At 44.7% G+C, this 12903-nt stretch overlaps 1 non-coding gene and 3 pseudogenes across 1 annotated transcript, besides 4 other annotated features; 2 read left to right on the top strand and 2 right to left on the bottom strand.

Annotated features, from left to right (window-relative positions):
• Window positions 5467-6070: an enhancer, noted in NCBI's record as "NANOG-H3K27ac-H3K4me1 hESC enhancer chr1:146556258-146556861 (GRCh37/hg19 assembly coordinates)". NCBI's record gives its function as "activates a minimal SCP1, AML or CMV promoter by ChIP-STARR-seq in naive and primed H9 embryonic stem cells {active_cell/tissue: H9 hESC(naive and primed)}" and the evidence as "EXISTENCE:reporter gene assay evidence [ECO:0000049][PMID:30033119]".
• Window positions 5521-5720: an enhancer, noted in NCBI's record as "active region_1631". NCBI's record gives its function as "activates an Ori minimal core promoter by ATAC-STARR-seq in GM12878 lymphoblastoid cells {active_cell/tissue: GM12878}" and the evidence as "EXISTENCE:reporter gene assay evidence [ECO:0000049][PMID:35858748]".
• On the top strand, window positions 6025-6165 carry RNVU1-8 (RNA, variant U1 small nuclear 8). Its single transcript, NR_121645.1, has one exon. It is a non-coding gene; the product is annotated as an RNA, variant U1 small nuclear 8 (small nuclear RNA).
• SSBL4P (small RNA binding exonuclease protection factor La like 4, pseudogene) lies at window positions 7131-8747 on the top strand (annotated as a pseudogene).
• Window positions 9432-10137: an enhancer, noted in NCBI's record as "H3K4me1 hESC enhancer chr1:146552193-146552898 (GRCh37/hg19 assembly coordinates)". NCBI's record gives its function as "activates a minimal SCP1, AML or CMV promoter by ChIP-STARR-seq in naive H9 embryonic stem cells {active_cell/tissue: H9 hESC(naive)}" and the evidence as "EXISTENCE:reporter gene assay evidence [ECO:0000049][PMID:30033119]".
• Window positions 10911-11035, bottom strand: RNU1-151P (RNA, U1 small nuclear 151, pseudogene; annotated as a pseudogene).
• Window positions 11552-12258: an enhancer, noted in NCBI's record as "H3K4me1 hESC enhancer chr1:146550071-146550778 (GRCh37/hg19 assembly coordinates)". NCBI's record gives its function as "activates a minimal SCP1, AML or CMV promoter by ChIP-STARR-seq in naive H9 embryonic stem cells {active_cell/tissue: H9 hESC(naive)}" and the evidence as "EXISTENCE:reporter gene assay evidence [ECO:0000049][PMID:30033119]".
• On the bottom strand, window positions 12080-12151 carry TRE-TTC14-1 (tRNA-Glu (anticodon TTC) 14-1; annotated as a pseudogene).

Below are 12903 nucleotides of genomic sequence, written 5' to 3'. Positions count from 1 at the left end.
AAGGTAGTTCTACTATTAGCTCTTCAGGGAATCTCCACACTGTTTTCCATAGTGGTTGCACTAGTTTACATTCCCACCAGCAGTGTGGAAGTGTTCCCTTTTCACTGCATCCACGCCAACATCTATTGTTTTTTGATTTTTTGATTATGGCCACTCTTGCAGAAGTAAGGTGGTATTGCATTGTAGTGTTGATTTGCATGGAAACGCAAATTAAAACAACAATAAGATACCACTTTACACCCACTAATGTGGCTATGTTAAAAAAAATACAGAGAACATCAACTGTTACTGAGAAGGTGGAGAAAATGGAACCCTCATATATTGCTGGGAAGAATGTAAAAGGATACAACCACTTTGGAATCCAGTTTGACAGTGTTTTAAAAAGTTAAACAGAAGCTTGCCATACTACTCAGCTATTCCACACCTAGAAATCTATCCAAGATAAATGAAAATACAGGTGCACAGAAAACTTCTTTGGAAATGTTCTTGGCAGTATTATTCATAATAGCAAAAACTAGCTCCTACTGAAATGTCCACCAGTGGTAGATGGATAAATAAAATGTGGCATTATCTGTACAATGTAATTCTATTTAGCAATAAGAAGGAAAAAATCTGACACCTGCTACAGTATGGATGAATCTTAAAGCATTATGCTAAGTGAAACAAGTTAGTCACAAAAGACTACATATTGTTTCATGCCATTTATATGAAAAAGATAAATTTGTAGACAGAAAACATAAATTGTTGGATGAGGTTAGAGGAGGGAGTAGGATTTGCTACAGTGGCAGTGGAAAAATTTGGGAAGGTAAAGGACATGTTCTAAAAGTGGATTATGGTACACGTTGAGAAACTCCATACAGTTGAATCACATATTTACAATGGTAAAATTTTTGTACTTAAATTTAGTTGAAAAGAAAAAGGTAAGGACAAGACAGCCCTAAATCAAAGGGTTGTGGTGTCCTCTGATCCTGTGATGAACATTGCATATTGAGATGCAACAATCTGGAATGAGAGCAAATGGTTACTTAGAAGGTGACTTCTGATGTCACATGCTTGAGGAAGGGATTCAGTGCCTGTGCCTTCAGCCTCTGACCCTGGCAGTTCCCCTGGAATCTAGAGCGTCGATGCGGTGAGTGAAGGTACCCTTTGCATTCCAGGGAGTGCAAGGTGAGCAGTGGCACCATGTAAAGATCTGGGAAAACGAGTTTGCTGGGAGAAGTTTCATGAACACCCTGGGTGATGAAAGGAGGAAATCATGAGGAGGAAGTGAGGGCTGCAGGATGAAGTGGCTGCTTGAAACATAAAAGCTGATCAAAAGTCTTTATAGGTTATGAGTAGGTTCTGTTCCTAAGTGAGCTCAAACCAGCAACCTTTCGGTTAACAGAAGGCGCCACAGAGAAGAACTACCGTGAATTTATATGCTAATATTATGGAATGACAACATACTCCCTACCCCCAAAACTATGTCATTGATTTTAATTTTTACCTTTGTAATTTACTTTCTTCCTAGTTGGAAATTAATTTGTTCTTTTGTAGTTTCTTAAAGTAAAGCTGAGGTCACTGATTTGAAAGCATTTTTTAAATTTTTTTGGCAATTTTATTTTGTTTTATTTTTTATTTTATTTCCAGAGGTTCTGGGGGAACAGGTGGTATTTGGTTACATGAGTAAGTTCTTTTGTGGTGACTTGTGAGATTTTGGGGCTTCCATCACTGGAGCCCTATACGCTGATTTTTTATTTTTCATTTTTAATATAGACCTTCAACGCTATAATCCCCCTTCCTCATTTTGATATATTGTGTTTTCACTTTCATTCTTTTCAGAAAAATTTCTAATTTTGCTGTTGATTTAGTCTTTGATCCATGGGTAATTTATAAGTATTTTCCTCATTTTCCAAATATTTGTTGGAATTTTGCAAAAGTCTTTCTTCTGTTGATTTCCAACTAAATTCCATTGTTATCAAAGAACACATCTTTATGACTTGAATTCTTTTAAATCTTTTGAGCCTTGTTTTGTGGCCCAAAATATAGTCTGTCTTGGTCAATGGTGCATGTGCATTTGAGTAAAATATATCTTATGTTCTTTTTGGGTGCCGTGTTCTGCAAACATTATTCAGGTCAAGTTGGTTAATTGTGTTCTTGATGTCTGCCATAACCTTGTTAATTTTCTGTCTGTTGTATCAATTAATAAGAGAGGGGCATTGGAAACTCTGACAATATGGTGAATTATCTATTTTTCCTTCAGTTCTATTAGTTTTTGCATTATGTACTTTCAAGTTCTGTCATGGTGAGGGGGTGATTATTATGTCTTCTTGACAAATTAATTCCTTTATTATTATGAAATCACCCTATTTATCCCTGGAAATATGGTTTGCTCTGAAATCTACTTCATCTGATATTCATATAGCAGTTTCTTTTTCCTTTTGACTATGTTTAGCATAGTATATTTTTTTCCATCTTTTTACTTTTACACATTTGTATTTTCATTTATACAGTGCATTTCTTCTAAGCAGCACATGGTTAATCTTGTTTTTATCCAATGTGACAATCTCTGCATTTTAATTGGTGTTTTTAGACCCTTTACATCTAATATAATTATTGAAAGGGCTAGGTTTGAGTTTTACCTTCCTCTTAATTTTCAATTTGTCCATTTTGTTTTTTATTTTTCTGCCATCTTTTGTATTAAACTAGTATTTTTATTATTCCATTTCAACTTATTTGTTTATTACCCATTGCTGTTTTGTTATTTTAGTGGTTGCTTTAGGGATTATATTATATATTTTCTAGTTAACACTGTCTACCTTGTAGTTATATTATGCCACTTCAAATATAAAATTAGGCTGGGCACAGTGGCTCAGACCTGTAATCCCAGCACTTTGGGAGGTGAGGCAGGAGGGTTGCTTGAGCCTAGGAGTTCAACAGCAGCCTGGACAACATGGTGAGACCCTATCACTACAAAAAATTTGAAAATTATCCAGGTGTTACCACCAGATACTTGGGAGGCTGAGATGGGAGGATCACTGGAGCCCAGGAGGTCAAGGCTGCAGTGAGCTACATTCATGTCACTATGCTGCAGCCTAGGAGACAGAGCAAGACCCTGTTTCAAAAAAACAAAGAAAGAAAGATGGAGTAAGAGCCTTAGAGTATTATATCTCTCTATCTCCCCTCCTGGACTGTGTGCTATGGTTACAAGAATTTTATTTTAAATATTTTTTAATTTTTTTGAGACAGAGTCTTGCTCTGTCGCCCAGGCTGGAGTGCAGTGGCGCATTCTTAGCTCACTGCAACCTCTGCCTCCTGGGTTTGATCGATTCTTTTGCCTCAGCCTCCTGAATAGCTGGGATTACAGGCATGCACCACCATGCCCAGTTAATTTTTGTATTTCTGGTAGAGACAGGGTTTCACCATGTTGGCCAAGCTGGTCTGGAACTTCTTGTCTCAAGAGATCTGCCCACCTTGGCCTCCCAAATTGCTGGGACTACAGGCCTGAGCCACCATGCCCAGCCAAGAATTTTATTTTTATGTCACAAATTCCACAATCCTTTGTGGGATGCAGAGTTTGTGAAGATTTTCTCAAACTCTGTGGGGTTTCTGTTTACTCTGCTGATGATTTCTTTTACTGGGTAGAAGCTTTTAAATTTAGTTAAGTCCCATCTACTTATCTACGTTTTTGTTGCATTTGCTTTTGGGTTCTTGGTCATGAAGTCTTTGCCTAAGCCAATGTCTAGAAGGGTTTTTCCAATGTTATCGTCTAGAATTTTTATAATTTTATAATTTTTATAATTTCAGGTCTTAGATTTAAGTCTTTGACTATCTTGAGTTGATTTTTGTATAAGGTGAGAGATGAGAATCCAGTTTCATTCTTCTACATATGGCTTGCCAATTTTCCCAGTACTATTTGTTGAATAGAGTATATTTTCCCCATTTTATGTTTTTGTTTGCTTTGCGGATAATCAGTTGCTGTAAGTATTTGGCTTCATTTCTGGGTTCTCTATTCTGTTTCATTGGTCTATGTGCCTATATTTATACCAGTACCATGCTGTTTTGGTGACTATGACCTTATAATATAGTTTGAAGTCAGATAATGTGATGCCTCCAGATTTGTTGTTTTTGCTTAATCTTGCTTTGGCTATGTGGCCTCTTTTTTGGTTGCATTTGAATTTTAGAAATCTACAAGCAACTCAAACAAATCTGCAAGAAGAACACAAATAATTCCATCAAAAAGTGGGCTAAGAACATGAATAGACAATTCTCAAAAGAAGATATGTACAAGTGGCCAACAAACATGTGAAAAAACATGCTCAACATCACTAACTATCAATCAGGGTAATGCAAATCAAAACCACAATGCAATACCACCTTACTCCAGCTCATCTGGTCTTGTGGCTCCCACCCAGGAACTGACCCAGCTCAAGAGGATGCTTTAGCTCCCTATGAGTTCATCTCCCACCTGACCAATCAGAACTCCCAACTCACTGGCCCCCACCCACCAAATTATCCTTGAAAACTCCTGTCCCAGAATGCTTGGGAAGACTGAGTAATAATAAATCTCTGGTCTCCCACACAGTTGGCTCTGCATAAATAACTTTCTTTATTGCAATTCCCCTGTCTTGATAAATTGGCTGTGTCTAGGCAGCAGACAAGGTGAACCCATCAGGTGGTTACACTCCCTCAAAACCCACTACACACTTTATGATTCAGTTTATATGAAAGTAATGGGCAGGAAAAAACTCGCCTGATAGTTTTGGAATCTGTGGAGTATTGTCAGAGTTTGGGGTTGTATTCTACAGATTAAAATTAATCAGTTAAGCACCTCCAATAAAATTTCCCCCAAATATTTTTTGCCAAATTTGGGTGACTTTGTTTCTGTCTTTGCACAATATGAAGTGCTAACATGAGGTAAGTGCTAAGGTCTAGAGAAGGCTGTGGAAGAGATGACAAACTCCAGCATGATGCCTGAGTGTCCAGTGTGCTCTGCTGAGGCAGCATATTTTTGTACATTGCTGTATTTGCAAAAACCCTACAAGATTCACGAAATTGGACAACCATCTTTATAACACTACTAGTGGTAAAACAACTAAGGATGGCTGGTTTGCAGTCATCTGAGCAACCTCTCTAGTTTCATAGATATGGTTTCTCTCTGATATTGAACGGCTTCCAATTTCAAGTAGAATGCTACATCACAAGAATAACGATGTGAAAAGAACTGGTTTCTTTTGTAATCCCAAACGTTCTAGTCAGTGTATTAAAAGCCATTGTTTGAAGAAGGGTGCACAGGCTCCAGCTGCCCGCCAAAGAGGTCCTCAGCAACACAGGCTAAGAACCCGTTTCTGGCCGGGCGTGGTGGCTCACGCCTGTAATCCCAGCACTTGCGGAGGCCGGGGCGGGCGGATCACCTGAGGTCAGGAGTTCGAGATCAGCTTGGCCAAAGTGGTGAAACCCCGTCTCTACTAAAAATACAAAAATTAGCCGGGCTGTAATCTCAGCTACTCGGAAGCCTGAGGCAGAAAAACCGTCTCAACCCGGGAAGGGAGGTTGTAGTGAGCGGAGATCGTGCTACTGCACTCCAGCCTGGGCGACAGGGCGAGACTCCGGTTCAAAACAAAAAACAAAACAAAACAAAAATCAAAACCCTCTTCCTTGGGGGAGACCAGCGGCGCGGAAGGGAGGAAAAAGAAGGAGAGGCAAACGTCACTTCTCCCGCAGGCTGTGGCAGCATGTTGTTCGGCTGAGTGGCGGAGGGTGGGATGGAAAAGCTGACTGGGACGGGGAAGGCGCTGTCAGTGACATCAGGGATAGGGCGACTTCTATGTAGATGAGGCAGCGCAGGGGCTGCTGCTTCGTCACCGGCGGCTTCGCCACGAAGGAGTTCCCGTGCTGTGGGAGGGAGTCCAGGACCGCTGGTCGGACCTGAGAGTCCTAGCTGTGTATCAGGGCTAGGAGGCCTCGAGGGTGCGCGGGGCAAGTGACCGTGCGTGTAAAGGGTGAGGCGTATGAGGCTGTGGCGGGGCGGAAGCGTGCAGACTCACATTTACCTAGCAGAAGAAAAATCGTGTTTACGAAGGTGGTTTTCGCAGGGCGAAGCTAATTCGTGCAACTTCCCCAAATGTGGGAAGCTCGACTGCATAATTTGTGGTAGTGGGAGACTGCGTTCGCTCTTTTCCCCCGTTTTTTTTTTTTTTTTGCGGTGTGGAAAGATAGACTGCATGCAGTCTATCGTGTTATATCCTGGACGGCATCCGAAGTGTTTTTCCTTGTAGTTAGGAGGCTATGAAATAGAAAGTAACGCGTTGGTTGTTGTCCTTGCCGCCGGAGAAATTATAAGGTCAGCCGAGGTGAGATTGTTTAACATAAGCTAACTAGCGCGATGGCCCCAGAGCGCTTTCCTTTCTACGTGGGGCTGCTTTTAGCAGAGATTGGCCCGTGGTCTCCAGTCTCCTGGGTTCTCACGCTCTGTGAAAATCTTCGTGTTTTTCCGCAGCCTCTAGAGTTACCTTTAACAGCCTCTGCTTCTAACCGCTGCCCCACAGGAGTTTATAGGATTTCTGTGCTGGCGGGGAATGTGTTCTCACCTCATAGAGCCAGGTAGAAACTGTACGCCGACGGGCTCAGTTCTTTGCGATGAAAGCAGGGCCTTTGGGGCTCTGTGACCCCCTTCGGTTGTAGACATAACATGCTTATTTTGTGGATGGGAACGGCTCTGCCCGCGCCCAGGTGCCCTTGCGCATATTCACCGAGGCCCGCAGGTCGGAACCGCAGTCTGACCTGTCAGCAGAATGCGCTGCGATCTACTCCAACTACCCGAACTACCCAGCAATAAAATGGGACACATTACAAAACATGAGATAGCATGGATAATCTCAAAAACATTATGCTGAGTGATGAAAAGAGTGCATCCTATGCGGCGCCATCAAGGTGAATTTCTAGAACAGGTAAAACTTACCTGTATAGTGACTGACAGAAACTACATCATTGATTGCTGGGGTCAGGGAAAGCGGGGACTGACTTCAAAGCGCAAAAGAGGACCTTTTAGAATAATAGACCTGTCATCAAACTTGAAATGGATGCATTGTACCTAGTCAACTCACACTTCGATCAACTTAATTGTAAAAAGTAATAAGAAAACCACTCCAGGAGTCATTGCTGTTGCTGTTTGTGAGCCTGTGGCACGGCTCTATGGGACTGGAACTTTAAAGATAGCCACAATGGCTGAAAATGATGATAATGAAAAGATGGCTGCCCTGGAGGCCAAAATCTGTCATCAAATTGAGTATTATTTTGGAGACTTCAATTTGCCAGGAGACAAGTTTTTAAGGGAACAGATAAAACTGGACGAAGGCTGGGTATCTTTGGAGATAATGATAAAATTCAACAGGTTGAACCATCTAACAACAGACTTTAATGTAATTGTGGAAGCATTGAGCAAATCCAAGGCAGAACTCATGAAAATCAGTGAAGATAAAACTAAAATCAGAAGGTCTTCAAGCAAACCCCTACCTGAAGTGACTGATGAGTATAAAAATGATGTAAAGAAACAGATCTGTTTATATTAAAGGCTTCCGAACTGATGCAACTCTTGATGACATAAAAGAATGATTAGAAGATAAAGATCAAGTACTAAATATTCAGATGAGAAGAACATTGCATAAAATATTTAAGGGATCAGTTTTTGTTGTGTTTGATAGCATTGAATCTGCTAAGAAGTTTGTAGAGACCCCTGGCCAGAAGTACAGACACAGGCCTGCTAATACTTTTCAAAGATGATTACTTTGCCAAAAAAATAATATTAATAAAAAAAAAGAAAGAAGAAGAAAGAAAACAAAATAAAGTGGAAGCTAAATTAAGAGCTAAACAAGAGCAAGAAGCAAATCAAAAGTTAGAAGAAGATGCTGAAATGAAATCTCTAGAAGAGAAGATTGGATGCTTGCTGAAGTTTTCAGGTGATTTAGATGATCAGACCTGTAGAGAAGATTTACACATCCTTTTCTCAAGTCATGGTGAAATAAAATGGATAGACTTCATCAGAGGAGCAAAAGAGGGGATAATTCTATTTAAAGAAAAAGACAAGGAAGCGTTGGGTAAAGCCAAAGATGTAAATAATGGTAATCTACAATTACAGAGCAAAGAAGTGACTTGGGAAGTACTAGAAGGAGAGGTGGAAAGAGAAGCACTGAAAAAAATAACAGAAGACCAACAAGAATCCCTAAACATATGGAAGTCAAAAGGACACAGATTTAAAGGAAAAGGAAAGGGTAATAAAGCTGCCCATCCTAGGTCTGGTAAAGAAAAAGTACAGTTTCAGGGCAAGAAAATGAAATTTGCTAATGATGATGAACATGATGAAAATGGTGCAACTGGACCTATGAAAAGATCAGGAGAAGAAACAGACAAAGAAGAACCTGTGTCCAAACAACAGAAAAGAGAAAATGGTGCTGGAGACGAGTAGTTTAGTAAACCAATCTTTTATTCATTTTAAATAGGTTTTAAACTACTTTTGTTTATGGGGGGCTTTTAAAAGGAAAACCGAATTAGGTTCACTTCAATGTCCACCTGTGAGAAAGGAAAAATTTTTTTGTTGTTTAACTTGTCTTTTTTTTGTTATCCAAATGAGAATTTTTTTGAATGCATAGTTCTTTTTGTGTTCTTTCAGATGATTCAAATATCAGAAGGAAGATTCTTCCACTAAATTGCCTTTGTAATATGATAATATATTAGTACAAACTAATAAAATATATACTACATGAAAAGAGAAAAAAACCCTCCAAATCTTAATGTCTTCTTAATTTAGTGTATGTTTAGCCTTAGAAAGGTGTCTCTCTGTGATTGAGAGTTCAGGAATTCCTTGATTTCTGTTTCTGTCTCTTTGTCTTCAGTTAAATTCATGCACTATTAAATGGAATATTTGTAAAATAGAGTCTAAGCTCAATTTTATAAAAGTATATATATACTTATATATAATATATATAAACTACATATAAGTATATATATACTTTTATAAGTGTATAATATATATGACAGACTAACAAGAGAAGAGCATATGTATTTATTTAATGTAAGTTTTACATGACAGGAGTGCCTTCAAAGGAAACGAAGACCTGTGGAAAGAGCTAAATCTCAGTTGTTGTTGGTTTTTTTTTAAACAGTATGTTTTATGAAGAGTGCATACTCATGGAGAAGTATGATAAGACAAAAAAATGTATGATCTAACAGTAACAAACTGGAGATAACGTAGCCAGGTCTCTGTGTTCAGGCTCTTCTCTGTGTCCCTGTGTCTTCAGACTCAAGGATGCACCTTTCCTCTGGGTACAGAGAGGGCACCTCTCACATGAGAGTCTTATGATAGGCTTCAGGGAAGAAGCGCAGGGGGAGGGTGACAGTGACCTTCCTGCTTCTGTTGTTTTCTCAAATTCCTTTAGCATAAATATTTCCTCAAATTCTTTAGCATAAAATATTCAATATCCCATGTATGTAAGAGTGCCATAAATGCTCAATAATTGTCTTCTGTTATTAGTTTCATCAGTAGCATCATCTGAATCATCAGTATTGTCTATTTTTAACAGTGAAAAATGCATAAGGTAACATACATTACCTTATTTAAAGTTCAGAACAACCAAGGAAATGAGTAACTTGTAGCGGGTGTGAGAAGTTCCGTGGCACAGACGGAAGATAGGCATTCAGGGAACACCAGGATAGAAGAGCCGGAGTAGAAGGAGAGAGAGGAAGAGGAGTCCGCCAGGTGGGATGCAGGAAGCCACCGGATAGCTCGGGCGGAGAGAGGGCGCTCCTGCTCCGCAAGCCTCCCGGCGACCGCAGGCCTTCGGCCACCTTCTTCCAGGAAGACGCACCCTCCTTTCCTCTGGTCTCGGTTGAGACACTGCAAAGGGCATCGTCCTGGAGCATTTCTCCTCTCCCCAAGGCCCCTCGAAGGAAGGATGGGCGGACGGAAGCTTCACCCCGAAGTGGTCAAGCGCGCAGAGCTCCAGCTTCCGCAGGAGCATTTCCCGGTGTCTCTCATGGGTAAGAGTGGGTCCTGCAGGATAATGCCTCCCGTTCCCTGAGGAGCAGTGCTGGAGATGCCCATGTGGCCAGCTCCTAGGCCACGCGACCCAGGCCCTCCAGGAGGAGCGAGGAGTCCTGGGCCCTGAACCAGCCCCCTGGACCCGCTGTGCCAAGAGAAGCAGCAAGGGAAGCTCCCGCCTCAGGGTCTCTGTCTTCCTGTGGTTAAGAGACGTGCATCCGACTCCCTCTACAAGTGCTGGAGAGGAGGCTAGGTCTTTCCTACGGGCTGGGGGCCTTGCTGTCCCAAGGACAGCTGGGGAGAAAGAGGAAGCCGGCTGAGATGTGTAAAGCAGCTCTTGCTACCGCGGGAAGGGAGAGGGCGCGCGGGACCCAGGAGCCACTGTGCGAAGCCAGGCCTCAGGAGCAGCCGCCTTGTTCCTAGAAGGGGTGCCTCCATCCATCTGGTGTCCAAAGACTGCAGGGAGACCTTCTCGTCCGGTGGGAAAGCGAGGTCTCCCATGCTTTCCCACCACGCAGGCCTTGTGTCCTTTCTCCTGCTAGTGTCTGCCCGCCAGCGGGCGGGAGCTGCGGCTGCGGCGGTTCCACACTCTGTGGACGCTGCCCGCCAGCGAGCCAAGAGCCGCGCTTGGAGGCGGGAGTCGGGGAGTCGTGTGCAGGTCGGAAGGAGACCCAAGCTCTGGGTCAGGGCTTTTTTGCCAATAGCCAAATTCAGCGTGTAAAAGACAGAGAGCTCACATCTGTCTGTTCGAGAGCTTCAGTGAGAACACCAAGGAAGCGCCCTCAGGAGCCCTGGGAGGGCGGCGAAGGGTCTCTGGCGGCGATATCCGCGTTGGCCGTGAGCCAAGGCAGGTCAGGAGCGTGCGCGAACCCAGCCCCGGGGTAGCACGAACACCACCGCAGACTAGGGCCCCGCGTGTGGGGAAATCGCAGGGGTGAGCGCAGCCAGAGTGCGGTGGACTAGCCTCAACCAGGGAGAACCCCCTTCCTGACCACGGTCTGTCCCCCGCCAGGTAAGGGAAGAGGAGAAACAGCACAGCCTCCTCTCCCCTAGCCGAGCGCTCAGGGTCACCACCTTCCCCTCTGCTCGCTCGTCGCGCCATTCTTCCAAAACGCTTTCCGCGAAAGATTCCACCAACAGTCACCCACAGGACAACCCAGGCCTCCTTTCAACAGCGGCTCCCGCTCCGCAGCCACCGCGCCCTCTCACCCCCGCGGTTCTGCCCGCCGCCTCTGTCCAGTCTGTGCACTTCACCTCCCTGGCTCCGGCTCCCCCCTGAGCTTACAGTGGACGCGGGGTTCCTCCGAACCCCTCTTGGGAATACTGAATGGAAAAGGGGAAACGTGCGCAATTGCTTGGTAGAGTGTAGACAGACATTGCGGGATTTGACTGCGGTACCATCGCTTTGACGACCTAGTGATTTTCACACCTGCCTTCTGTTCACCGGCCACAGTTTTCCATTTGTGCCTGCTCCACGTGCTGTCTTTGTTGGGTCAGCAAACATCGCCTCCCTTTACCGCTCAGTCTACAAACGAGCGGTCCTGGAGGGCCTCACCCGCCGCTCACCCCACTTCCAACCTCGCGGGCATCGCCTCCAGTCGCTTCTTCTGAAGGCCTAAGAAGCACGTTACCCGCGAACGGAGGTGAGGAGGCTCCACTGACCGTCCCCTGTCAGCTGATAATTTGTGGCACGCACAAACGCCACGACTTGCCTTGGCCTCTCTCTTAGTTATTCGCAGCTCAGCCCGATCGGCGCCTCCGGGACGGCAGAGGCGGCAAAGACGGTGGGCTTCTTGGGTGCAGTTCCAGGAGGGCTGGCATCTCTGCACAGCGGTGTACACCTGAGCGAGACGCTCAGTCGCTCTCTAAAGCCGCTTGTGCGAATGACAGACACGGAGATAAATAAGAGCGCTGTGTCATGAGAGGTGGCCCACCAGGAGTTGCCCTCCTTCGCCAGGGTTTGCACCTCGCTGCGGAGACTGTTCTGCGTCTGGCCCTTGGAGAAGGCCCGCTTACAGCGGCGTAAAGGAAGATTCCTGCGGGAAGGCAGTCAGTGCAAAACAATTCCCTGACTGGTAATCCAACCCGAGCTGCGGCGGTGAAAGCGCTAAATTCTAGCCACCAGACCACCAGGGAGGCACAGGAGGGGCTTTTTCAACCTTCTTGCCACTGAAGCGACAGTTTCCCTGTAAGTGACAGTTTCCCTGTGCGCTGGGAAGACTTGGGACTTGTGGAGGTCGCTGGTCGCTCCTGGAGTCGTCTCACAAGGCCGTTCCCTCCCTCCTTTCTCCAAAAGAGGAGCACGCAGGCGACGCACCCAGCACTCCGCTAGGCTCACCAAGGACACAAGTCCCGGAGCCAGTTGCAGCGTCCGGGCAGAACCTGACCACCGACCTAGAGATGCGCCTTTGTGAAGCGGCAGCGCATGGAGAGACAGTAGCGGGTCACCGGGCCAGAGCCGCGCACTGGGTAACCAGGAGCAGGCAGGAGCGAGGAGGCTCCCAGGGTGAGATCGGGGCACCCCGAATATCATAAAAGACTCAGACCTTGGCATCCCCGACATCATAAAGGACTCAGACATATGCGGAAACCAAGACGGGCTGGATGGGAAACTCTTTCCACGAAGGCTCCGGGGCCCTGAACTGGTCTCCGATCTCCCTGCTGGTCTCCCTGCAACCTGCAATACCTGCCATTTTCCCATCTTAGGCTATACTGCAACGCCACCCTTCCGTATGCTCTGGGCAAAGCTCCAAGGGTTCCCGCTGACGTTTGAGTTTTTTCCTCAGGGCCAAGATCGAACTGGTCACCAATTCGTGATTTCCCATCGGCCAAGTGCGTGGGCATTGATCTACACGCGAGTTTCTCCACCTCCGCGGAATGGGTATTAC

This window comes from Homo sapiens, chromosome 1 (genome assembly GCF_000001405.40).
Source record: "Homo sapiens chromosome 1, GRCh38.p14 Primary Assembly".
Lineage (NCBI taxonomy): Eukaryota > Metazoa > Chordata > Mammalia > Primates > Hominidae > Homo > Homo sapiens.
This window is presented reverse-complemented; position numbering and strand designations above follow the sequence as displayed.